The sequence below is a fragment of the Homo sapiens genome, chromosome 6, assembly GCF_000001405.40.
Source record: "Homo sapiens chromosome 6, GRCh38.p14 Primary Assembly".
Classification (NCBI taxonomy): Eukaryota; Metazoa; Chordata; class Mammalia; order Primates; family Hominidae; genus Homo; species Homo sapiens.
In genome coordinates, this window is record NC_000006.12 from 161,082,904 (window position 1) to 161,110,857 (window position 27,954).

At 39.6% G+C, this 27,954-nt stretch overlaps 1 protein-coding gene across 7 annotated transcripts in view; it reads left to right on the forward strand.

The window, feature by feature from the left end:
* MAP3K4 (mitogen-activated protein kinase kinase kinase 4) overlaps window positions 1-27,954 on the forward strand; it is a 125,612-nt gene that overhangs the window by 91,135 nt on the left and 6,523 nt on the right. For 2 of the 7 annotated variants that reach the window (NM_001291958.2, NM_005922.4), the window contains 17 exons: window positions 1,598-1,714; window positions 3,476-3,575; window positions 3,681-3,764; window positions 4,785-5,051; window positions 6,419-6,568; window positions 8,476-8,637; window positions 9,107-9,240; window positions 10,075-10,153; window positions 10,870-10,948; window positions 14,177-14,273; window positions 15,375-15,524; window positions 18,989-19,089; window positions 19,796-19,876; window positions 23,611-23,802; window positions 24,996-25,066; window positions 25,840-25,956; window positions 26,852-27,011. In NM_001291958.2, the coding sequence (NP_001278887.1) occupies window positions 1,598-1,714; window positions 3,476-3,575; window positions 3,681-3,764; window positions 4,785-5,051; window positions 6,419-6,568; window positions 8,476-8,637; window positions 9,107-9,240; window positions 10,075-10,153; window positions 10,870-10,948; window positions 14,177-14,273; window positions 15,375-15,524; window positions 18,989-19,089; window positions 19,796-19,876; window positions 23,611-23,802; window positions 24,996-25,066; window positions 25,840-25,956; window positions 26,852-27,011 (2,141 nt within the window). The other 5 variants (NR_120425.2, NM_001301072.2, XM_047418783.1 and 2 more) reach the window with 5 other exon arrangements.

A 27,954-nucleotide genomic window follows, 5' to 3' on the forward strand; every position in this document is an offset into this window, starting at 1 on the left:
TTCTCTCAATTTCCCAGTGGCTCCCCATCTTACTCAGGAAACGTAAGACTGCCTAACAATGGCCCGCAAGGCCTGACATGGTCCTATTTCTCATTACGTCTTTGTCCTCCTTCTAGACCCTCCTGTCCTGTGCTCGCTTCCCAGCCACAGTGGCTTCCTCACTGTCTCGGGCCAGGCATGTTCCAGCCTTAGGCCCTTTTCACCAGCTGGCCCCTCTGCATGGAGTGCTCTTCCTCCCAGTTATTTTCATGACTTGTTTCCCCACTTCCTTCAGGTCTTTATCCAGATGTTACCTTCTCGGTATATTTAAGATGGAAATTCCTACCCACAACTCCTTAGCTTTTTTCTCTGTTCCTTTTCTCCATAGCACTTACCAATAACCTGAAATACATTTCACATTTTTGTTTTATTTATTGTGTTTCTCCATCCACTGGAGGGCTTTTACTGGTTTTGTTTGCTGCTGCTTAGTACGTAATAGGCACTCAATATTTGTTGAATAAGTACATTCTAGTATTTTTGTATAATGTTCTTTAAAAGCATTGTTTCCAATCAGACCCCTTTCCCAATCAGATATTTTAAAATTTACTCTCTTTGCTTATCAAACGCCAAACTAATGAGCATGACATCCATTGCCCTCCACAGCATGGCCGCAGGACTTTCCCCTGTCCCTTTGTAGCCTAAATACCCACTACTCTTCAGATTGGATGATTTTCTTTTTTCATGAACATGCTTGCTTGACTACATCTTCATGCTTTTTAATCATATTTATTGTTCTTCCTGGACTTTCCTTCCGCCTTTTCCATTTTCTTCCTCGCAGATTTTCCTTTTCCCAGTATTAGTCCACCTGTTAAAATTCTGCATTTGCCTGCAAGGCCCATTGCAGGGCTTTCTGGACATGAAGCCATGCCTTCAATGGGTCTGAAACTGTGCCTTCGGGGTTGGTCTTTCTCCTCCTCCGACAAGCCTAGCACTTACCTCCTGCTGCATCTGATATTAGTTCTGTGCTTACCTGCTCTCTGTTACTAGATCCTAAGTTTTTTTCCTTGAACATCCTAAGTCAGTAAACTGTGGTTGAATTTTACTTCACTCATTTAGATTCATTTTATATACTGGGGTGTACATTTTAACACTAGTATTTAGAATTGTGTACTCAATGAGAAGGATCAGCCAGATAGAGTGTTTCATGTTTATTGACTATACAAAGCTAATTGTGGGGGAAATTTGTAAAAACAGTTGAATTTAAGGAATTCCCTTTCCCTCTTATCCTATCATTTAGTTTGAGGCCATTTTATGGAAAATTTCCATTTAGATGGAAATAACATTTGTGTACTAATTCCATAGCTACTATGAATACAGTTTAAGATTTTAAGGTTTATATTGAGATACTGTGGTAGTAGAACAAAGGTAGGTACATGTCATAATCCAGATTCCTATTTTTCCACGTCCAGGGTTTTATATTAAAAGAAGAGAAATTTTTCATTTTTGATTTTTAAACCATTAGAGCAGTAGCTGAGCCTTTCAAGTTTCTCAGTCAAGAATTAGGCTATGAGTAGGGACAGTTTTCTTCTCTGTTTTATTTTTATTTTTGTTCCCTTAGTGACATTGCAGGAATGCTGCTGAAATCTACAGGAAGTTTTTTAGAATTTGGCTTACAGGAGAGCTGTGCTGAATTTTGGACTAGTGCGGATGACAGCAGTGCTTCCGACGAAATCAGGTTGGAGTTGTGCTTCCTTTCCCCTTCCACTTCTTATCTCGTAGTTTCCTTCCTCATGGTGAGATCCTAGAAGGAGCCTTGTTCAAACCAAATTGTGTTGGCCTGGAAGAATTTGGGCAGTAGATGTAAAGGGATTTATTTATAACTGCCTTGTCTTTTCATGTGATTTCTTAGTTATGGTTTTATGTGAAATTTTCTTTGAAGGGGAACTTAGAATTTATTTAGTGTGATAAAAATAGTGCCAACTGGCTGGGCGCGGTGGCTCACGCCTGTAATCCCAGTACTTTGGGAGGCCGAGGTGGGTGAATCACCAGGTCAGGAGTTCAAGACCAGCCTGGCCAAGATGGTGAAACCTCGTCTCTACTAAAAATACAAAAAAAACAGCTGGGCGTGGTGGCACGCACCCGTGATCCCAGCTATTCAGGAGGCTGAGGCAGAAAATTTCTTGAACCCAGGAGGCAGAGGTTGCAGTGAGCCAAGATCATGCCACTGCACTCCAGCCTGGGTGACAGAGCAAGACTCCGTCTCAAAAAAAAAAAAAACTAAAGATAAAGAGATAAAGTTGACTGAAAAAAATGAGTAGAATTTTCTTTATTTACATTGTCTGGGATGCCTTTTATATTAGTTTCTGTTCTTAAAAAATCTGTGTAGTGGTCCATTAATACATTTTAATGACATTTGGTACATTTTTATTCTTAGTGCATTCCTTCTGTTGAACTTTAAACTTAAGTGTATGAAACTATGGTTTTTCTCTGTTGAATTTCCTCCAGTTCTGTGCAGATGGTATTTAGGTCGAAACTTTTGAAATTGCTACTCTTTGTGGTATATATATCAGGCGTATAGCAACTTTGTGGCCATAGAATCAGCAAGGTCATATGAGTCAAACTTGGCGAAAGCTCATATAGAACTGACTTCTCCAAAGCGAAAATGTTTTCGCTCACCATTCAAGGTTTGATGAAAAACACATTTTGAGTTTCAGAACACCTGGTATGTTTTTATGCCAAGGTTAAAGAAAGAAGTTCCCACATGGTTTCTCACCTGGGAAAATATTGAATAGCTGAGAAATGGAATAAATAAGTTTGTAGGTCTCACAGTTTTGAGAGCTAACATGGTGGGTTCAAAATAACCCCAAGCATGTAGATTCCAAAGAAACATGAGAAGGCAGGAATGAAGATGGTGAACTAGAGAGCGGTTCCAGTTCAGGGGGCCATGGGCAGTGGTGTGCTGGAGCTGCTTCTCCCGGCTTGAGAGAGCTGATCATGCACATCTCTTCCCATTTCATTGCTCAGGGACATCATACTGCTGCCTTGAAATTAGCTATGATGGGAGTATTTACACCACAGAAATCGGCATGCATTACATAAGATAGTAATTTAGGGTCACCCAGTTGTTAAATATTTCCCAGATCACACTGTATAGATTTCTTTTTAGATTACGAGCCAGGAGTTAAGAACTTAACCTTAAACTCCAAGAAATGATCATAATGAAATGTTAAGAAAATTGAGCTTCCTATTATTTGAAGGTTATTAAATGTGCCCTGCTTACATTGAAAGGATATGAATATTTTCTACAAAACTGTCAGGAGCAGGCTTCTGAATGTTTTGACTACATCTTCAATAATAGTTTGTTCCCATTTAAAAAATCCTCAGTCTTTATTTATTACTGTGATTTGGAATTTGCTTCATCTTTATTGTTAAATCCCTCTTGCACCTCTGGAATATTCCCTAATGTGTTCTAACTGGACTTGAATCCACTTGGCAGGAGGTCTGTTATAGAGATCAGTCGAGCCCTGAAGGAGCTCTTCCATGAAGCCAGAGAAAGGGCTTCCAAAGCACTTGGATTTGCTAAAATGTTGAGAAAGGTGAGCTTGCAATCCTGATTAATTAGTACCTTTTTTCTTGTTTTTCTTTTATCTTATTTTTTTAATGCTAACCGTAAAGAAGTTTCTTTGTAACTGTGATCCTAGGACCTGGAAATAGCAGCAGAATTCAGGCTTTCAGCCCCAGTTAGAGACCTCCTGGATGTTCTGAAATCAAAACAGTATGTCAAGGTAAGTACTTCAAATGTTGTGATTGAAACATTTTGCCTTTCCTTCTTTATTCTAAAACAGGCAGACTTTTTCTTGAAGGTCCAGATAGTAAATATTACAGGCTCTGAAGGCTGTACCACAACCCCAGTTGTAAGACTGTCCTGTAATTCACCAGTGGAATAATGAAACAGTCTTTTTCATACTTGACTTACTAACTTGTCTTCAGAGTGTAGATAAATAATAAAAAGTTTACTCATGCTGTTTATTAATTTAGTTACACATATTTAAAATAATGTGTATAAGGAGATAATATTCATTTTAAATTATGGTTTTGTTTTTCACCCTTATATTTCCTGATGCAGTTCAAAGGTTTTACAGTGAATCTTTGACATCAAGATCCTGGTCATCACTAGAGCCACTTTTTGAGTCAGCAACTTTACTCCACTTTAAGTTGTTGGAGATTTAGCACAGTTAGAATCCGTATGTGATGTCATCACTGGACATTTTATCCCAAGCCCACAGTTGTATCCCGCTCCCATACTGAGAGTGGGAGGGATGACCTGCAGCGTGCCACCACATGTGTACCCTTTGAGAAACTGATCTCAAGGAGCCTTCTTGTGATGAACCCCTGGCTCCCTGCCCTGGAATAATTAGAGAATCTGTATTAACAATTTTTGCCTTTTTCCCAAGCCAGGTGACTTTTTGTAAGCATCACAAACTAGCAGTGGTTGAGGTTCTTTCAGGCTGCCTTGCCTCCCCGTCGAGTATTTTCTTTGTTGTTGAAAATAAAGCAGTGAGGAGGATGTCCAATAATCGGGGAGACTCTGTAAGGCCTCTCCTCCAGTGCGTTCACAGACTCTCCTCCTCCTGCCTCCTTCAGTCACACTGAAGCCGGCTACCTGCAGTTCCCTCACTGCTCCAATTCATGCCCTTCCCACTTTCCCTTTCCCAAACCTGCCTCTCCTTTCCTAGGTTTGTTTTAAATAACCTATTTCTCTAATGTACAGTGTTCCTTAAGATTTTGGATTATGTCTTTTGCAGGTGCAAATTCCTGGGTTAGAAAACTTGCAAATGTTTGTTCCAGACACTCTTGCTGAGGAGAAGAGTATTATTTTGCAGTTACTCAATGCAGCTGCAGGAAAGGACTGTTCAAAAGATTCAGATGACGTACTCATCGATGCCTATCTGCTTCTGACCAAGCACGGTGATCGAGCCCGTGATTCAGAGGACAGCTGGGGCACCTGGGAGGCACAGCCTGTCAAAGTCGTGCCTCAGGTGGAGACTGTTGACACCCTGAGAAGCATGCAGGTACAGCTCATCTCCATCTTTGCAGCAGTGTTACTTCAAGGACTTTTAGTAAGAATGAACTGTTAGCTGCTCATGAATGAGGGGTTTGACTACCCTAGTAATCACAAGTATATACTTCCCAAAAATATGCCTCAATGTGTTAATAGGTCATTTTGCAGCATAATTTGTACAATATATCATTCTGTTAAGTTAAATTATACTGGAATACTTGAAATAAACCATCTATCTGGTTTATATCTTTTCTTAGTTCAGTCATGTAGTTAGATCTGTGGAGCTATGATCTAAAAGGAGTTATGTCACTAATATAATTTGTAGTTCTAGAAATCCCAGTTCTCCAAGTACTCAGGTTTACTGGTTATTTAATTTTAATTTTTTGTAGTGAAGGCTATCCCCTCCCTACCTAACAGGGACCTCGTGACAGTTTCTATAACTCATTAGTTATAAACTATGAGAAGCTTTCTCATTTATCTGTGTTCAGCTTAGGAACAGTCATGGTGAGTGTTCATATGCACCTTGAGCTCAGCCTCACCAGAACTGAGTATACACTGGCCTGCTGTATCCCTCACCCCAACAACTCTGCTTTTATATTCCGTCTCAGTGAATGGTTCCGCGTTCACTCACATGTTTAAACCAGAAGTGTGACAGCTAATATAAATTCAGCCTCCCATCTTTCCAGTTAATACCTTGCCCTGGAAAGCCAGAAGCATTTCCAGTAAATGATCCTTTCCCTGCATCCCCAGAGCAGCTGCTGTAGTCAGCACTTTACCATCCCTCTCCTGAACTATTGCAGTTTCTGACTTTGAGTTTCCCTGCTTCAAACCTCACCTTCTGTCTCTCCAATTCTGTGTTTGTTTTTGTGCTTCTAGAATGATCATTATAATACATCTGATTGCATCACAGATCTACTTAAAATACTGCAAAGATTCTTCATCTCTTAAGAACAAAAGTAATAAAGTCTTGATTTCTTAATGTTTTATATAAGGCCCCTCATCTTATTTCTGTCTTATTCCTACATTTTCCTTCTTCATATGCTGCTCCAATACACACACACATGCACACATACACACACACACTCACACACACTCTGCACTGGCAGTACTGAACTACTTGAAGTTCTAGGATATCTCAAAGATGTCATGCCTGCAGTCCCAAAGGGTTCTTCTCCGTGGTGCTGAATATCCCAGCTGTCAATGCCCACTGAAGCGTGTTGCTGTGTAGGAGAAGCTTTGCTTAAAAATGACTTTCTGATTAGATGGTTGTTGGCCTGGTATCCCTGAGATTGGCATTGTTTTTGGACTGGTGTTGAACTAGAATAACAACTAGTAACTGGGTTGGTTTTTATGTCCTGTGCTTGATTTTCCTCCCAGGTGGATAATCTTTTACTAGTTGTCATGCAGTCTGCGCATCTCACAATTCAGAGAAAAGCTTTCCAGCAGTCCATTGAGGGACTTATGACTCTGTGCCAGGAGCAGACATCCAGTCAGCCGGTCATCGCCAAAGCTTTGCAGCAGCTGAAGGTATTACACTGTCCTCTACATTAGCTGAGATTTTTCCTTTTTGATGAAAGTCAGTGTGTGGTAATGTGTGTAAGGTAATATCATCCAAGGAACTTGAGCTCCTGAATTGCCTGCCCACTCACCTCTCTTCCCAATACATATTTTCTTATGTCTAAACTACATATTCTGAGATTCTTCCTGAAGCTGTAGAACTTTATAATTGGAAAGGATAGAGAATTGAACTTTATGTGACTTATTCATAATGGCTACATGACTGGTTAGTGGCAAAGTTGAAAATTTAATAATTTAGGTCTCTTCATTCCCAGTGTAAATTTCATTCTCCTTTCACAATCCCCAGTATTTACTAGAGGTACTCCATATCAGCAGTGTGTAATAGAAGATTTATTTATTGTTTTGTTTAATAAATAATTCAACCAAATTAAATATAATAGAAAAAAGTTGCAGAGAAGTACAAAGGCCTTTCAAAGTTTATGACAAGCCCCAGCCTGGCTGTCTTTTTCCATTATTTCCTGTTTTTGACACTTTCTATTTTGTATCCCATGTATCAGTCTTGATCTCATCCACACTTTTCCAGGCCATCAGTTATGTCTTCTCACTCACATTAAGGCTTAACTTCTTGAAGAAGAAACATTCTCTGAAGTTACAAGTCATTTCGTAAACACTTGTTTTTCTTCTGTTGGTCTGATTTGTCTGATTTATCTATAAACATTTATTAACTAAATATTTAGGTTATCTCTCTCTATGGATTGCTGGAAGAATATTTTGTAACCATAGTAAGGGGATTGCCTGATGGAGACCTTGTGTGCACTCGTGTGTAAGGGTGGGTAGAGAGAGAGACCGATTTGGAGCTATTGTGATGTTGCTGACAGAGGTGACAAAAGCTCGAGCCAGGGCAGGGCTTCTCAGCCTCTTGGATGTGGACGTTTGGGCCCGTAACTCTTGGTCGTGGAGGGCCGTCCTGCGCATTGTAGGATGTTTAGAGCTAGGGCAGGGCTTCTCAGCCTCTTGGATGTGGACGTTTGGGCCCGTAACTCTTGGTCGTGGAGGGCTGTCCTGCGCATTGTAGGATGTTTAGAGCCAGGGCAGGGCTTCTCAGCCTCTTGGATGTGGACGTTTGGGCCCGTAACTCTTGGTCATGGAGGGCCGTCCTGCGCATTGTAGGATGTTTAGAGCCAGGGCAGGGCTTCTCAGCCTCTTGGATGTGGACGTTTGGGCCCGTAATTCTTGGTCGTGGAGGGCCGCCCTGCGCATTGTAGGATGTTTAGAGCCAGGGCAGGGCTTCTCAGCCTCTTGGATGTGGACGTTTGGGCCCGTAACTCTTGGTCGTGGAGGGCCGTCCTGCGCATTGTAGGATGTTTAGCAGCATCCCTGGCCTCTACTCACCATATCCCAGTACTTCCACTTTTTCCTCCAAATTTTGACCATCAAAAACTTCTCTGGACAACGTCTCCAGACGCTGAGGGGAGGGGGAGAAATCTGCCCCAGAAGAGAACCCCTGGACTAGGGAGTAGCAGGGAAATGAGGACAGCACGATCGGAGGAGGTCATCTAGAAGTACATGGACTTTTTCACTCTGTGGAATTGCACCCGTACTTATGGTTGAGCAACCGTCCAGGAGGAGAAAACAACAGGTGGTTGATGTATAAAAATATTGAAGATAAAAGCATCTATTCCAAGAGCAGATTATAACTAGACTGTATCATTTTAAATGCATTTTTTTCTCTTCTATTTAAGAATGCCAAATAAAATGACATAATTTCTTCTATATTTGGTAATTCCTTTACCAAGTGGCTGAATTGTTTGTAGTGGTTAATGTCTGTGTGATGATGAACGAAATCTTCCTTTAAAATGTGGTAAGTATTGTATGATTTGCTTCATTTTGCATTAATCATGGTTTGGACTCTTCAGAATGATGCATTGGAGCTATGCAACAGGATAAGCAATGCCATTGACCGCGTGGACCACATGTTCACATCAGAATTTGATGCTGAGGTTGATGAATCTGAATCTGTCACCTTGCAACAGTACTACCGAGAAGCAATGATTCAGGGGTACAATTTTGGATTTGAGGTAGGTTCAAAATAAGAGGAAACACGGTACAATTTAGTAATTGCTTGATAACTTACAGAAAGTTTTTGGAACCTTTTACAGTAAATCTGATATTGTAATCATAGCTTAATCAAGAATATCATCTTATATCACTGCTGTATATCAGAGATGTTAGTTTACTTTTAAACTGTTAGGTAATTGTCCAACTTTTATTTTGTGCTAACAGCCATCTACTTACATTTTAAAACTTTAAAGAGATGTTTTATGTCATAAAAGCACATTCTTAATTTAAACTCAGGAGTAAAACATTTATGAAACTGCATTTTGAAACACTGTACTTTCCATAATTCTTCATACTATTCAAAATATAGAAATTTTAATTGGATTTCACTTTTTGTTTTTAGAAAACATTTTAGACATGGCATTATAGTGTGTGATATTATTTAATGATCATTTCCTTAATGTTGATATACATGAAATCTTCTTACAGTATCATAAAGAAGTTGTTCGTTTGATGTCTGGGGAGTTTAGACAGAAGATAGGAGACAAATATATAAGCTTTGCCCGGAAGTGGATGAATTATGTCCTGACTAAATGTGAGAGTGGTAGAGGTACAAGACCCAGGTAATGACCAAGTAGGATGTTTCTGAAATGTGTCATGTGGGCTTGGTGGTATTTGTTCATATATGTTCTGTGGGATTCTTTTTGAGCAGACGACACAGAAGGGAACACTCTAAACTCTTCGGTGATCAGGTTTTTTTTAATGGAAAAATATGTAGAGAAAACTGCGTAACTCTTGGGAAAAAATTTTTTTTTAAATTTGTTCCAAATTTGAGTTACCTTTAAGGGAACTCATGTTCTCCTTTGACAAGTCTTCCTGATGACTAATGTATTTTCCTCCCTCATGAAATTTATTCATTAAGAAACCATTTTGGAATTTGCAGGGGTGAAATGGGTGAATCGTCTGTGAGGCTCAATACTAGCTCCACTAAAGTAAACATAGTTATTAAAGTGTCATGACTGTGTGAGAAATAGCTGAGTGTTCTGTAATTTGTAATGGAGGGATAGCATGGGGCACTTTCTTAAAGTCATTAAGCAATTTCTCCAAGTTAGAGAAAACACATTTGCTGCATCTGAGATTCAAAGTAGGAACTTTGTGTTACAAAACTCATAAATACTTGTTGAATTACAAATAAATAATTGTTGAATTACAGATGGCACCTATCATGTCTAAAATCCTCTTCCATGCTTCCCATTGGTTTCAAAACAAAATTAAATTTTAAAAAATTATTCTCCTTTCCAAAAGGTCACGCTGTAAACTTACTGAACCCAAGCAAAAAAAAGTGTCTTGTCCTAAATAGTAATTATAATTATGTTACTTTTCAGTATTGTACAGTCTAAAACTGCTACAGCGTTTTCTTGGTTGTTATGTGATTACTGAACTTTTTCGTGTACCAGGTGGGCGACTCAAGGATTTGATTTTCTACAAGCAATTGAACCTGCCTTTATTTCAGCTTTACCAGAAGATGACTTCTTGGTATGGATTATTCTAAAGTTTTTTTCATTATAAAATAAGCCAGTCACTCCTTATTTTCTGGTTGTATATGTTTTATATGTAATAGTGGTTTTTTTCATGAGATATTAATCTCAGCATATCATGTAATGATAATGCTGAGAAATTAAAGTACTCCTCATAGCAGAGTAAGATTTTTTTTCTTTTTGTAACATTAGTGTTCAACTAAGTCAATGTCTGGTTTGTAAACCCTGGCCCTTCTAAAATATTTGTGAGATTTATATTTTTACTGCCATCATAGCTGCTGCTTTGGGGCAGAACAAGGATTAGCTCTTTTACCTCAGTGTGCATCATTTTGAGAGCATCATGCTCGTGTTAAATATTATCACTGTTAGTCTGATAAGTGTCATCAGATTAGCATGATATTGCTCAAAGTGTGAATTCATTTATTTTATTCTCCCAGTAGTAGAGACGATTACATGAAAAGTTCTTTGCTTGTACACGTTATTGTGTTATGGGAAATTGACAGCTAATTTGCTTTTACTTATAAAAATGAAATACACTGTATTATTTTAAATTACATACAATTTGTGTTTATACCTATTTTCTTTTAAACTAACTGAAAATATTTTGGGTAGCATGTTTTTAAAAATATACTGAAAATTAATTTGTGCTACTTACATAATTAAGAAAGTATGCATGTTTTCTCTTTACCTTTCCCATTTTCTTTTGGTTTCTAGAGTTTACAAGCCTTGATGAATGAATGCATTGGCCATGTCATAGGAAAACCACACAGTCCTGTTACAGGTTTGTACCTTGGTAAGACAGCCGTTAACAGCATTTCTTCTGGAACATAATGATTTGAGTGGACAGATCCTCTTGTAATTGCAGTCGTTTAAAATGGTATAAGAGGTGTTTTAACAGTATTCAGGAAAACGACAATGAGAGGGACAGAAATGAGGTGTGTAGATAGAGAACTCCGCAGCAACCTTTCTAAATCTGACAGGAAGATTAAAACGTCAGCCATACGCTATTCCATACCAGCCAGCAGTATTCAATTACACATTTCTTTCTATACCAACACTACCATTCTTTTTTCCCCCTTACCATCTTTTCTGATGGGGAGGAAAGACTGGAAGAGGGCGTTGTCTGCCAAGCAACAGGAACTGCCCCTGCTGCAGGTGGCTGCAGATCACTTCCCTGTCCCCCGTTCCTCACCTTTGAGGAGAGCAGTGTCCATTTCTCCACAGCTTTCCCAAGTACCCATCTTCCCACCAGCTGTAGTAAATTCTGATTTGGTTTTACTGTTTAAAAAATCAAGTTAAGTTATGCTGCTATATATATTACTTCAATTACAATTTTTGGTTACAGTTTATGTACAATTTTACAGTAACAATGAATGATTAACACTTTTATAGTATATGTTGAAATGTTGAAAACAAAATATATGTCAAAAAAAGCTGTGTCTTATGCCGTTCTTGAGATAGTTTGTAAATAAAACAAAACTGTATTTGTAAGTAATAAACACCCAAGAAAGAAACTTAGAAATTTTATGCAATTTAAATTACACAAAATATAATTCATAAATGGTAAATTTATTGAACACTAACTGTATTTCATATAGGGTACTTGCTGGCTGCAGAAAATTCAGTAGAATGGGTTTTAATTGTTGGTTTTTTAATCTTCAGTTTATACCTCTTTTTCTCCCAAGGTTGTCGTGAAAATGAAAGTTAACATTTGTAAGACTATTTGAGCATTTTATATAAAGCATGCTATTGTCTTATCAGGTTATTGCTTAAGCTGTGAATAATTTTGATTTTCTGATATCCTAAAACACTTCTCTAAGAACACATGATCGATAATTCAGTAAGAATTACTTTAAAATATTTTATTAGATAAGGAATCATTTTCATTGTGGAAAAATCACAACATAGAAAAAGTATCTAGAAAAATATGGAAGATGTTCATTTAGAAAATTTATCAATGTAGAAAAAGATTACAAAAGACAAAATAAAAATGACTCATACTTCCTGAATCCAAAGGTAGTCCCGGGTAACATCTGAGTCGCTCATCTTTCAATATGCCTGCCACTCCAAACTGCAGTGGGACAGTTAATTAATAGCGCTCTCTGGAGACTCACATGGTCCTTTGTCCTCTCAGTCACTATGGGTTAGTGGAACTGAACTGTCGGGGGCCTGGACAGCAATTTTCCTGGGGCTGCTCATTTAACATCATTGAGCCTCTCTTTTTAATGAATGAAACTGGATGCTAATGAGGATTAAATAAGTAATAACAATGTGTAAATTCTAGTGTTCCATACGCAACAGGGGTCATCATTTGGTTTTGTGTTCTTTTCTTACAAAAGAAATGAATGAAAATGAGAGCACATCAACTGTCATTTTGTTGTTATTGTTGCTTACTTTCTTCCTTTCCCTCTGTTGTAAGCACATAACAAATAACAACCTGGTATGTAAGCTTCCATATTTTCTATAGATTCATATAGTCACACAAATGCATTCTCCCTGTACCTTTCTCTGTGCCCATTTCATCACACAGTCATATATAGGGTGGTTCGTTTACAATTGGAGAAATGTCTCCAAGTCAACAGGTATTGATCTCACTTGTTCTTTTCATTGGCCACACTGTGGCCGTCATGAATGTACTGTAATTCTTTCTACCATTTTTTGATGGGCTTTTGTTTGTTTTGGCTGTGAAAAGCATCTCTATAATCAGTGTTTACCAGTAGTGAAATTTGAACATCCATTTTGCTTATTAGCTATTTGAATTTTCTTTCCAATGAAGTGGAAAGTTTTGCAGTGTTACATATACCTACTATTAAAATAATTGTTTTGTTTCATGCAAAACATGTGCACATGGTTTTTTAAACAGAATGTCTTTATTTGTAGGAAAATTTTTACTAATTTTTGACTAGTTCCCAGTATCTTTGCTCAATTAAAGACTCACCAAATCTTTTGTTTTTTTTTAACCTTTGTTACTATTGAATTTCTTCCATTTGTTACTATTGAATTTCTTCCATTTGCCATTGTAATAGCTAGGATAATGAATCAGAGACACAAATTGCCTGAGGGTTTTTTGTTAACAATCCCTTAAGTTTTGTTTTGTAAGTTCTGTAAGGGAACTTCAGATCTCTCCATTTTTACTACTTCTGTCTCTCTTGTTTCCCCTTATTAATAGGAAACAAAATCATGAAGAAACAGGATTTCCATTTAGGATAAAACCTATTTGGGATAAAACATATATAAACTAAAATTATTAACATGAAGAGAAACTATGACATTAAAAAAATACTAAGGAGGGTTAAAACAGAGTGGTAAAAGTGAAGAAGAGAAAAGCATGTTACGGAGAGTAGGCAAAATATGACGCATGTCCACTAATACTGACATCTAGTTATTGGGAAAGTGGAATTATCAGCATATTTGTAATCACTAGGTAAGATCTCTAATTTTAAATTTTATCTAGTTTTAAATTTTTATTTTAAATTTTATTCATATTTACCTATTACCAGAATAAAAGAAAAAGAGAAGAAAACATGCTCTTGAAAAAAATGACTCAGTTAAATCTACCTGATCTGGTTTAAAGGAACTGAATAAAACTCCATGCACTCAGGACAATGACAGTGACCTCAAAGGCAGGACCTCTTGAAATGTCGCCAGTGACCACAATCTTTTTAACGTGTAGACAACATAAAGAACTCCTTTTTATTAGGGAGATACCACATTTTCATGTATCTCTAAAATGGGTTAAATCATTTGTTTAGCTTACATTATGTATGTTTTACTCCAGGATTTTTAAAAATGTTTTTTGATGGAGAAAACTGTTAATATATAATAGGGCTTTACTGACTTTTAAAAAGTGACATTTTCCATAATATTTGTATATGTAATATTATTTTTTACTTATATAAATGGACTTACCTTGGTCATTGGCCAGAATAAGTGACATTCTATTTTCCATTTGACTGTTTGGTTTGATGATTTTCTGTGGACCATATTAACAAGTTGCATTTGTTGCCATTTTTGCTGGCAGCCATTCATCGGAACAGCCCCCGTCCTATGAAGGTACCTCGATGCCATAGTGACCCTCCTAACCCACACCTCATTATCCCCACTCCAGAGGGATTCAGGTATTTGGTGCTTATCTAGTCATTTGCTTTACAGAGTGCCCTCCGATATGCATGCTCATACTTTTGAAACTACTAGATGCTTGCTCTGAGAGCTAAATACCTTTTCTGCATTGTTCGTACGTAAAAGCTCTTACTTGCATTATCTTGAAACCTTTAGTCGCAAAAGAAAAAGACATGCAAATTTAAAACAGACCTGTGCCTTTCAAGATAACTTCGTTTCTCAGCTTATTTATAACCTCAAGCTACTACATGCTTTCTGGCTGTGGAGTCATTTTTTCCTTTCCTGCCTTTGAAAAATAACCTTCAGAAAACAAATTTGAATATGGATAGTGTAGTCAACATTTGAAAACATACTAAATATCACTAAAAGTGGAGAAAAACTGGAATGAGCTTTCCAGATTCAATTTTTATCTGCATATGTAATTACAAAGCAACTTAAACACTAAGTGAATTCAGAAACTATAGTACATTCACGATAACTGCCTTGAATGTGGTGGCATTTCTGCATCTTGAGGTAGTGAGCACCTTCTCTCGCCTGTATAATCAGTTTTTAAAAGTTTAATTTTATTTGACAATATTTGCTAGATAAGGACCACAGTTTTTTGTTTTTTTTTTAAAGCTTTGAGGGGACCGGGGTGCGGTGACTCACGCCTGTAATTCCAGCACTTTAGGAGGACGAGGCGGGAGGATCACTTGAGCCCAGGAGAACAGCCTGGGCAACGTAGCAAAACATCATCTCTACAAAAAATACAACAAAGATAATAGCTGGGTATGGTGGCCGTGCCTGTAGTCCCAGCTACTCAGGAGGCTGAGGCAAGGAGGATCACTTGAGCCCAGGAGGTCAAGGCTGCAGTGAGCTATGATTGCGCCACTGCACTCCAGCCTGGACAACAGGGTGCGATGCTGTCTCAAAAAAAAGAAAAGCTTTGAAGTTAGGTTTTTTCTTTTTTACACCTAGACTCAAATCTCAAAGAACAATTTGCATTTTATATTTTTAAATATATTTCACCCCCTTGCCATATTTTATTTTTAATTGAAAACAATTTTCAAGTCCGTTCCCTCTTCTCACATGTGTTCCTGAAGCTTTTCTTCTTGTCTTAGCACTCGGAGCATGCCTTCCGACGCGCGGAGCCATGGCAGCCCTGCTGCTGCTGCTGCTGCTGCTGCTGCTGCTGTTGCTGCCAGTCGGCCCAGCCCCTCTGGTGGTGACTCTGTGCTGCCCAAATCCATCAGCAGTGCCCATGATACCAGGTAGTCTCACCCCACCAGTGTCCCGTACCCTCACCACCCCTTACATGCGCTTACACAGCAACCATAGTGTTAGGGTGTGTGCCGGCTGTGGTTGGGCTTCTTTGCTGTGGCGTGTGAGTGATGCTCTAGGGCCTTCCGCAGGTTGTCACGGCCCAGAGGCTCTGGCACTGACCAACACGAATGGATAACTGTCTGATGTCAGTATTTCTTTGGAGCTGATATTAGCCAAAATGACTAAAGACTTTGCGAAGAATAACTTGATGGAGTATCATAGGAAAGGACTGGTCCACAACAGAAGGGGACATGAGCATTTTGCCTCACAGAGAGAGCCTGGAGTCACAAGGTGGTTAAAAGATGGCATCTAGTTAATGATCTGATGTGGTAACATTTTATTTTTTGGGAAGATCAGTTTTCTAGCCAAATACTCTATTTTAAATAATTGTTGATTAGAAGTAGTTTATAGAAGTGGAAAAATGAGTTCATGGGGTTTGTATGTCATATGGAGAACAGATCAGTACTTGAGAGAACTCTCAGACAACTTGGCAAGCCCCAGAACAATTAAGTCTCGCATTGTCTTTTGTGTAAGTAAGGAGGGTCTTGTAGGTTTTCCCATTCTGGTTATATTTTGGCAGAGGATTTCATCATGTTCTCCTATCCTAAGTGGAGGAAGAGCTGTTGTTCTCTCTCAATTTCACACTTGTACCTAAGTAGGAGGAACGCTGTCAGTATTCCCATCTTCCAATGCAAGTCAAACCAAACTATGTAGATTGGGGGTATGTGATCTAAAAAGATCAACTTCTGATAGAACCCAGGGCTCTGTGTTCAGCCCCGAGGAGAAAATAGTAGAGTTAACAGGAAGATGATGCCTGGCTTTAGATTTTAAAACAGACTAAAATGTTTTTACACTTACTTTAGTAACAGTCTAAAATTTCTACAAATATTTGCAGTCATTTCACTCATTAAAATAATTAATACTTCTAAATTTTAGTGAGAAATGTCTATAACCTAAAAAGTACCAAAGCATTTTACAGCTTAAGCAGTCAACTAAAAAAATTAACAACATTGAACAAATTCCCATTTAGCTTCCTAGTTTTTACGTTTAGAGCTTTTCATGGCAAATATCTTCATATATGCTTTTATATCCCTGTGAGGGCTGCCAAAACTGTCTTCTTTATTCATACAGTACAGACTGAAGAGAAGTGATTTGGCCTAAAACACAGTCATAATTGAGGAGGGCATTGGCCACCCTGTGCCCCCTGCATCCCACACCTGCTGTGTCCATGTTCACATGAGACTGCTCCCGAACTGGACAATAGGGAGTGACCTCCCTCTTTTTAAAGGTTGATGCACTGTGTTTTAAGGCATTTGTAAGTTGGTGGTGTGGTACATTATGTGTATTTTAGTATAAGAGTTAAATACTACAGTTACCCTTTTCATGGAGTTTAGTCTTTGCAGAAGCAGTTTTTCAGCATTTCATCTTAAACGCTTATCAGTAGCATTTCATAAGTATTCATCTTAAGTTTGTACATACTTAGACAATCGTTGATGTTTAGAAATTTTAATAGTATCATAGCATGGTATCTTGAAGGACATTTTTTACTCAGGATTCCCGTTTACTTTATGACCGTCTGTGTGTGTGAGATGGTAGGTAGAGAAGAGCACAGCCACGTGAAGAGGTGTGGGGTGGTTACCAGACTCCCTCCTGCATTCAAGCCCTGCGTAAGCCTCAGTGCCTTCACAGTGAGCCTGGTTCATGGGCCCGTGAGTCACTGGTGGATTCGGCCCACTGCTCCCGAGGCAGACTTCACATACCCAAGGGCTTGTGTCTCAACACAGCTGTGGGTTTGTGAATGTGCCACGGGGAGGCAGAATGACACCAGTGTGTGCATCCCTGCCACAGCCATGGGGTGTAGCCCTTGCCCGTCTTACAGATACATCAAAGTTCAACTTCACTTGACCCTAGAGGTTTCAATAAGTATTTTTAATTGATTTTACTTGACCTAGGAAATATCTGTTCTGGGCTTAAGTTATCTTATCATCGTTTGTAAAAACACTTTGCAGTGGTGCTCTTGCTGAGGCTTGCTCCTGCTGGCTCTCAAGAGCTGATGGCGAATGTTTGAGAAATTTTGCAAGTTGTTATACCACAGAAATTGGCAAACTCTACAACCCACCTCCCCATCCCCGACATCCCCCACCAGAGCTAGTCGTTCAACATTCCCCAATATGCCACTTCATGAGTATATGTTCTTGCTTTTTACCCGTGCAAAAATCTCTTAAGGACATGGAATTGGCTAGTCTCACTTGTGGGAAATCGGAAAAATTAGAGGTGTTTAGTGACTTCTTGGTCTCACCAGTGGTCTTTGTTGCTGCTTAGGAGTGGAGTAGGCTTCCTCACTTCAACACCAGTGGTTTTCCCGTCAGATAGTGCCGAATTTTTTATGAACTATATGGCAGTAGAAATGTCCCCATCACTTCAGACTTAACAAGTGCTATACTAGATTTGAGGGCTTAGGGAAATACCAGAAAAAAATGCATATTTTATAATTTGTAAATGTCTGTGCAATAGATCATGTTGCCTTCAACCTATCAATGTATAATAAGAGCATAAATGCTACCATACTTCATTATACCATTCACTTAAAAATATATACTAAATGACTTTAATAAACTAATGCCATATTTATTTGAGGTTCTTTGATTATTCGAATTACAATTTTAACACATTCCCTATTTAGTTTTAATTTTTACTCTTTATGGGTTCATTCTGGTTGCTGAACATTTCACTTTATTCTGGAAAAGCACCTCATTAACTTTGTTCTTTAATATATTAAGCTTCCTGCTCTTTTGCACTTTTGCTTGGCTACTGCTTGAGAAACCTTTAGGTATTCCCTTCCATTTTCTTACTGAGAGATTTGGAATCTTTTGGACCATGAAATGATTTTAGTACTTTAAATGTAATTAAGTACATAAATATAATTTGATGGTAACTTTAAAGATCAGCAAGATTTGGTTAATAACAGTTTTATTCACCCTGGGCTTAAGTTATGGAGCTTTTCACATGTCAGTAACATTTCAATAGTGTTGTGTTTTTATTTCTGTTGTTAATATAAGACAAGGTTTTATGCAGGCAGGTGCTCTCAGGCTCGGGTGTTGGCTATGGAGAGATGAAAATGGAGCCCTCCTTCCAGACTCTAGAGCTCTAACAGACTCCAGAGGACGGTCTCCACAGCAGCGCTGTTCACTTAGGGGGCTGATTCTGGTGGGTCTGTCCTGTGCGTTTTCCGCTGCCCACTAGATGCCAGTAGCACCCTCCCAAAAGTGTCTAATACATTGCTGGAGGCAGAGTTGTTCCTGGCAGGCAGAGTTGCCCCCAGTTGAGAATTATTGCTCTAGAAAAATCTCGCAGATCTTTCATTTTAAGTTCTATTGAATTGATAGCTCAATTATTAAAAATATTAAAACAGGGGTTCCAGCGTTCCTGAAAATGATCGATTGGCTTCCATAGCTGCTGAATTGCAGTTTAGGTCCCTGAGTCGTCACTCAAGCCCCACGGAGGAGCGAGATGGTGAGTGTTTTAAGGTGTTAGCTGCATTCACAACCAGTCTAATCATTTGTCTCAGTTCACCAGTTTCTGTTGTTAATGCCTTTATGAGGATTCCTTGAAGATTCCTTTTTTTGGTCCTTTCTAAAGGAATGAAGAGTAAGAAGCACAGAGCTTTATGAGAAGACTTACTGCTGAGCACATTGGCCTTTTAATACAGATGCCTTTTTAGCCCTGTTAGCATTTTATAGGTCTACTTTTGTTGCTTTAAAAATATTATTATTCTAGATATTTTAACTGTTGAATACTTTTATTCATTTAAAAAATACAAAAGTGACACTGTGTTTGTTGATCGTATGTGAAAGTTTTATTTATAATGCAGCCCTCAGGAACCACATTGCTGCTTCCATTGGAGTAGGGCTGGGGCTCCTGAAGCTAACATCTTGAATGAAGTCCCTAAGGAATCCACTTTTTGCACAGTATTCTGTTGTCTGTTACTCGTGAAAAGATGAGTGTAGTTAAAATCCTGTAACCCCATTAACTTCTTAGTTGGTGCAATTTTTAGAATTGATTGCAAAGATAGTTTCTCACACCTACATCAAACACACTAAAAATTAATAACCAGAAAGGCAAACAGGTTGCTTTTAACCATTACCTTTCCTTTCAGTTGTTCTCAAATAAGCATATTTATTTCATAAATCTTAATTTGTATAAAAATAACTTCCTGCAGAACCAGCATATCCAAGAGGAGATTCAAGTGGGTCCACAAGAAGAAGTTGGGAACTTCGGACACTAATCAGCCAGAGTAAAGGTGAGAGAAAGAGTGTTGAAGTTAAAAAAAAAAAAAAAAAAAAAACACGATTACACATAAGGGGAGCAGTTTCAGGTAAAACTTGATTTAGCTTCTGAATTATTAGGCCTCCTCCATTACTATTTTGTGATCTCACAGCTCTGACATCACTTTCTATCATGTACTGTGTTTGTGTACATTTCCTATTTCTAGTAACAAACTACATGCTCCTTTGGGTCTATAATATGTTTTACTCATCTTTATATTCTTAAAGCAACTTAGCATAATTTTTTGTCCATGGTAGGAGTATAATAAACATTTGTGAAATAACCATTCATAAATTAGACATTGAGGGAAAGAACTTACGAAGCATGTGATTAATATTATCAAAAGAACAAATAGCAGAAAAATCATTGGTCTAGTATTTAATGATCTATAAAATGCTTTCATGTCTTTTTTTGCTCAACAATATTGAGCAGTAGGCAAAATAGATGTTCTCTTTTTATAAATGATAGTTTCTAAGCAGCCCAATAATTTGGCCAAGGTAGTAAATGAGAGGGTGAGGACCAGAAGGCACTTGTCTCAAGTCTAGCGCACTCCATGGCAGCTTCCCTTTGAACTTTGTGTGACTGACCAGAAGAGTATTTGTCTTCCAAGGCCTAGAGATGTCTGGAAGGATTTTGTGGAGGGAGGAGACTGGGCTGGCCCTTTGAAGGGATGGCAGGTCTGCAGCAAGCCAGGAGGCAAGGAATAGAAGGAAGTGTGCACCCAGAGGCCTCGTGACTACAGGGGAGAGCCACTGGGCGCAGATGCCAATGCAGGAGAAACTGGAGAGTGAGGGGAGATCAGATCATGGACAGCCATCAGTGACTGCCTAAGTAATGAAGGCTTTGCCCAGAGGTGGTGGGCAGCCCCAGAGGCTCTTGAGCAGCTGGTGTGTTTGGGATGTGGGAGGCTGGGGATGAGTAAGACGCTGAGATAGTATAGTCTGCTAGCCAGAATTGAGGAGAAAGTGGGCAGATTGGTTAAAATGCCATTGCAGAAATTCAGTATAAATAATACGATACTGGACTAATGTGGGATTTAAAAGAGGTAATGGCAGCAAGAAACAACTTTGGTGCAACCACTGACAAGCCTGGTGACAGAGTAGGTGTGTGTTGAGGGTTCAAGTGGGGGAGTTTTCCTAGGCTTGAGCCAGGTGACAGGAAGACAGTTTCTTCAGTGGCTCACATGTAATCAGCAGTTCCCACGGATACCAGGTCTTTGCCATATTTTTCAAATCAAGTACTTTGTGGTCAAGTAAACTTGGGAACCACTTGGAATTATGTTTCTCTTGTGAGAGTTACAGTTCACATTGACATATTAAAGACCAAGGGCTGGGCACGGTGGTTCACGCCTGTAATCCCAGCACTTTGGAAGGCCGAGGCAGGAGGATCACCTGAGGTCAGGAGTTCAAGACCAGCCTGACCAACATGGAGAAACCCCATCTCTACTAAAAATACAAAATTAGCCAGGCAAGATGGCACATACCTGTAATCCCGGCTACTCAGGAGGCTGAGGCAGAAGAATTGCTTGAACCCAGGAGGCAGAGGTTGCGGTGGGCTGAGATCGCGCCATCACACTCTAGCCTGGGCAACAAGAGCAAAACTCCGTTTCCAAAAAAAAAAAAAAAAAAGCAGGCACAGTGGCTCACACCTGTAATCCCAGCACTTTGGGAGGCCAAGGCAGGTGGATCACGAGGTCAAGAGGTCGAAACCATCCTGGCCAATGTGGTGAAACCCTGTCTTTACTGAGAATACAAAATTAACTGGACGTGGTGGTGCGCGCCTGTAGTCCCAGCTACTTGGGAGGCCGAGGCAGAAGAATCTCTTAAACCCAGGAGGCGGAGGTTGCAGTGAACCAAGATCGTGCCCCTGTACTCCAGCCTGGTGACAGAGGGAGACTCCATCTCAAAAAAAAAAAAAAAAGGAATCTTGAGAAATTTTTTTTTAAGCGTTTCTCAGAAATATTTGTCAGTGGAGCCCATGGCCTCACTGCTGTCAAAATCTTGCCCTGTGCTGGGTAGATTTGCAGTGTTGTATATTGAGGTAAAGGAAACAAACTTGGATCCGTATTTTAAATAAATGAGTGTAATAAGAAATTATAACTGGACCATTATAAATCTTTTAGAATTTCTCTTTTCAGATTAACCTTAGAGTCATCCCAGCCTTCAAGGATCTCTTCATCTGAGCCAGAAAACATAGGCTCTTGGGTAGCTAATTAGGATATGGTATGAAAAGTGTTGTCATAGAGAAGTGGACAAACCATGGTTGTCAATTTATGGGTTGTGAACCATTAGTGGGTTGTAAAATTTTAGTAGGAGTGATCAACATTTTTTAAAAAAGAACAGGATGAAATCAGAATCACATGTAGTAAGGGTAATAGCTCACAGAACTGTTAAATGTGTGAAAGGTATTTCTTAGTATGAGTCATGATAAAACAAGTTGGAGAAATAGAGATAAATTGCCTGTGGGAAAATGAGGAATAATGGCAATAGCTAATATTTATTGAGTTTTACTGTGTTCTAGCCTCTGGGCTAAATGCTTTACAGGTATTATTTCATGAAATCCTCACAGTAGGTCTGTGAGATAGGTATTTTTATCTTTATTTTACAGATTAGGTTTTTAATGTGTGAGGAAGTTAATTACCTTGCCCATTGTCAAACACCTAGAAAATGGCGAGGCCAGCATTTTATCCCAGGCATTTTGATTCTAGAGCCCTTTTTCTGTACTCTTCCCAGAGAAGGGAAAATCCTTCTCATCAGAGATGGCTTCCTAGAAGAGGCGTGGCATTTCAGCTGCACTGTGTGAGTAAGATTCACTCAACAGATACTCAGGTATGAAGAAGATACTTTAGGCAGAGGGAAAGGTGTAAAAGTAATGGAAGTGAAAAGTAAAGTAGTTTGGTGTGTTCTGTAAGAGTCTTTCAGTTTGGCTAGTGTGAAAACATAGAAAAGACAAACTGGGTCCAAATTCTGCAGGGGTTTGGATATTTGGTTAGTAGGTAGTGGAGAACCATGAACTAAGTTTTTTGGTTTTTTGTTTTTTTTTTTTTTTGAGACCTGGTCTTACTCTGTCACCCATGCTGGAGTGCAGTGGTGCAATCTTGACTCACTGCAACCTCTACCTCCCGGGCACAAGGGATCCTCCCACCTCAGCCTCCCAAGTAGCTGGGACTACAGGCACACACCACCACACCTGGCTAACTTTTGTATTTTTTTGTAGAGATGGGGTTTTGCCATTTTGCCCAGTCTGGTCTTGAACTCCTAGGCTCAAGTGATCTGCCCACCTCACCTCCCAAAGTGCTGGGATTACAAGAATGAGTCACTGCTCCAGGCCTCGTGAATTAAATTTATGTAGGACAGTAACATGATCACATTTTATGTTTTAATAATATGGCAAACAAGAGTGTGGAATGGAGAGAGGAGAAACTAGAGACATGTATATTACTGCAAGATTTTAGCCAACGTTCTTGGGAAAGGAAATCATTTTTGTGTGACTAGCTTATATTTTATGTGTGTACTGTATAAGGGGTGGCATATGCTGGAATGAGTAGCGTTTGAAGAACTTTAATTCACCTGCTGTTTATCTGAATAGATAATAAGCTTTGCTGTAATGGAGTGCTAATATATATTGCTCTATTTTTATTGGTTTGTCTTTTGGAAACTGACTTGATAACAGTGATTGGGACTAATGAGGTTTTGGTTCTCTCTGCAGATACTGCTTCTAAACTAGGACCCATAGAAGCTATCCAGAAGTCAGTCCGATTGTTTGAAGAAAAGAGGTACCGAGAAATGAGGAGAAAGAATATCATTGGTCAAGTTTGTGATACGCCTAAGTCCTATGATAATGTTATGCACGTTGGCTTGAGGAAGGTGACCTTCAAATGGCAAAGAGGAAACAAAATTGGTAAGGAAATTAAGGAGCATGATGTCAAGATAGTCCCTGTTAGAAGTAGCAATAGTTATACTTCTTTAGGTTGAATCCTATAGAGTTGGCCCTTTTTTCTTGTAGACATAGCAAGTATGCATTGTTATCTTTTTGCAAAGTGGTCTGGATTTTTTTTGGTTGTTTAATTTGTAAAATGTATTCTAAGAGCAATACAAAATGAGATTTTAGAATGAGAAAGAGATTTCTAAATGATTCATTGCATTGGATTCTTTTGCTTAATAACCCTGGAATTTGCCAGTGGAGAGGTACCAAAATTTGACCCATTTGTTCTAGTTTCTCTCTCTCTCTCTACACACGCGCGCGCACACACACACACACACACACACACACACGCAGAACGTGATTTGAAGAGAGACTGGATACAAATGAGGGCAAGACAGTCTTCTTTTCTAAAACATTGCCTCATTAATTAATTTCCAGGTGGAATTGCTTCATGTAAAATAGTCGTAAATTATGTGAGGGAAGAAGTCTTGTGTTTCAGATCCTTTCCCCACTTAAATATATTTATCTGTCACACATCTAGGTCTGAAGGGGGCGAACACAGTTGTATGAATAATATGGGACTTTGTCAGCCTGAGGAAACCTGATGTTTCCTTGGAGCTATCAAGGAGGGCAAAAACCACTGAAAACAATCAAGTACTTTATAAATTGGATTAATTATTGTTATCAGTCTTGTCCAGGCACATATCCTCTTGCTTTAATGTCCCAGAAGGTATGTTAGGGGAATGTTTGCTCCCACACACTCCTGGACATGTGCCAGTGAGGAAGACAATGGTCAGGCTTAGTCCTGGCTGTTTTCTGCTGCTCCCAGCCCCAGCCAAGATCTCCTTGAGGGGTGTGAGGGCTCAGAGGTGTGCACCAAGGCTGCTTTTATTGGTCATTTTCATGCTTCTCCTGGAATTTACCAAAGTCGGTTCTGCTCTATTTAAAGATACTTGTAGGTAAGACATATTAAAGAGATTGCCTAAAACTTTAGTTATCAGGGAACATTTAGAAAAATTTTGGATCTTGCAATAGTAAACTGCAGTAAACATAATTATAGATATATAAATATACGTCCAAAATAATTGGACAGTATTATTACAAGTTTAAGGAATGTAAGACAGCCCCCTGCAGTGGCTGGAAGTGCAGCTTGTTTGCATTGTTCACAGGAGAAGGCCAGTATGGGAAGGTGTACACCTGCATCAGCGTCGACACCGGGGAGCTGATGGCCATGAAAGAGGTGAGTCACCTGGCTCCGTGGGGCCTTTGGGCCTGGCGGCTCTGGGTGATAGAAATTCCGTATAGACGCTGGTCGTGATTCAGTTCTCTGTGCGTAGAGCTGTCTTCAGCACCAGCACTGCGACAGTCAGGACCAACCAGGCAGATGCACTGAGATAACACACACAGACAGTGAAGGGGCTTACGATTCCAGAGAGGATAATAAGTCACAGACAGTTCTAACAGCACAGGTGTGAGAAGGGCCTATGAGGGTGGCAGAGCTGAGTCTGATGAAGGCTTAGAGGAGAGGATTAACAGTAGTGTCTTATGGGGACACATTGGGGGAGAAGATAACATTTATGATAAGCTTCAGAAACAAGTGGCATTGAAACCGCTGGAGGTAGGATGGGGAAAGGGCCAGGGAACCTGAAGTAGAAACAGGACTCACTGCTGTCTGTGGAGACATCCGGTTTGACGTGGAAGGAGGAGAGGAGTGGAGAGGGGAGGCTCCAGCGTCTTGCACTTGCCGTGGAGCCGCGTCCTCCTCCACATGGCGCTCCTCACTCCCTCTCGGAGCAGGGCCTCTTCCTCCTCTGTGCCCGGGACCTACCCGCACTTCTATGACTTCACTCTAGCTTGGCTAAAAACTTCCTTTTTACTTAATTTTTTGTTGTTTTTAATTGACAAATCATGATTACATATATTTATGGGGTGCAAAATGATGTTTCAGTGTATGTGTATAATGTAGAGTGATTAAATCAAGCCAGTTAACATTTTTGTCACCTCACTTTACAGATTCGATTTCAACCTAATGACCATAAGACTATCAAGGAAACTGCAGACGAATTGAAAATATTCGAAGGCATCAAACACCCCAATCTGGTTCGGTATTTTGGTGTGGAGCTCCATAGAGTAAGCCGACCCTAATGCCACTCTTTGTGTGAGGAATCAGTGAGGGCACAGAATGGAGTCCTGTTCTACATCACAGGTCTTCTCATTTCAGAGCACAGTAACTTTGCCTAATTCTCAGGAAATCTCCATGAGTTACATCATTTCTGCCTTCTCTCTGAAACTAGAGGAGTTCCTCCTAAAATGTAAGTTGTAGACTGTAGTCATTAACCCGACATCATAAAGCACTGAAACCCATCCTGCCATTCAGAAGATTCTTCTAAAACGCCCCTTACACCACTTCTTGTGACTTTTTTTCCGTTTTTTTGCTGAACCACTGTTGAGTACACTGTTAAGTAATACTGGTTTTTTTCTTGTATGTATTTAGGGAGCCATTGTGAAATGAGAGAAAATTCAAACCTCAAATTGAGTTTCCTCCTTGTGTTTAGAAATAAACACGTCGAGGGAAAGAGGATAACTTGGAGCATCGTGGTGTAGAGCATGAGCTTCCAGGGGAAGTTGGAAATGGATCATTTTTAATGTTTTTACAAATTATGTTTAAAAAGGATGTGTTTCAGTACTTAATAATGTATTTGTAGGGACAGCCCTGTTGGTCCCTGTCTGAGATTATATAGCAGACTTAATTTCAGAGGATAATAGAAATTGATCCCCTGTGATTTGGAGATGTTCTTATCCCCAAGAGCTGTATAATTCCAGACAGAGGAGGCAGGCAGACACCTCTATAGAGGACTTAGAAACGACTGTTGTGAGACACATTCAGTGCTCAGGATGGCAAGTGTAGTATACCGTTAGAAAGAACATTCCTTTGGGGTGTGGCCTAGGAAGTTTTCCAGATTTTTCACTAGCGTACATCTAAGGAAAACCGTAAACACAGAGCTGCCCTTTATTCCTCCCACAGGAAGAAATGTACATCTTCATGGAGTACTGCGATGAGGGGACTTTAGAAGAGGTGTCAAGGCTGGGACTTCAGGAACATGTGATTAGGCTGTATTCAAAGCAGATCACCATTGCGATCAACGTCCTCCATGAGCATGGCATAGTCCACCGTGACATTAAAGGTAATCCCACACCCGCCTGGCTGCTGTGGGCCAGAGCCACTGGTACCCAGCCCGTGGGAGGTGCTCTGAAGACGCTCATCCCATTCCCACATATGATTTCTCTAGATGGAAATACCTTTCATTGAAATACGCCTCTATAAGGATCCTGTATTCAGAAACAAGGTAGAACTCATGTCTCTCTACCCAGGAGTCCGCTCTTTCTGTTCAACACTGCTTTTAGAGAAATCTGTTTTCCCAAAATGAAGTTTGCTATTTTTATAAGCTGATTTGGCATAGCCCGTGTACTTACCAGACATTCGTGATCAAAGCAACCTTTTTTTTCTCTCGTGTCAGGATTCTTGTCTATTTATATATGAAAATCATGAATATGTAAACCGACAGTAAATCAGATCAGAAGTGCACATATAAATTTGAGGCTACGTTTTTGAGACAAGAATGGGGTTTGTTTACACAAACCTTGAAATTGAGTTCTGCTGAAGGTTATTTTGGCCATGCTGATGGATTAAAAGTGCTCTTCTCATAGCACGAGGGGAATAGCTGGGCTTCTGTCTCAGAACGGTCACCGTGGCATTTGCCTTAACCACGCCATGCCCCTGACCTTTGTATTTGCAAGTCTTGAGGATAATTAAAATGGGGAAGTATTTTTGTGCCTATTTGGCCCTAGGCTGAAGAGTTTCATTCTGTCCTGTAGTCTGAGGCTAACCTAAACACATTAACTTAGGAACCGACCTGACTTCTGACCAGGGACAAGACCCAGTGTGGGAGGTTATTTTGGATTACACCAGTCTGCTTTGGTCTGGGTGTAAGCATTGTTCGTGCTCTGTAATGTGGCTCACCCTGAATCACCCAGCATACACCGGTCTCATTGGCTGCCTGCCTGTCCGCTACCTTGCTTTGGTGTCTGGGGTCATCCTGATGTTGGCTTAACTGGCTCTGTACCAGG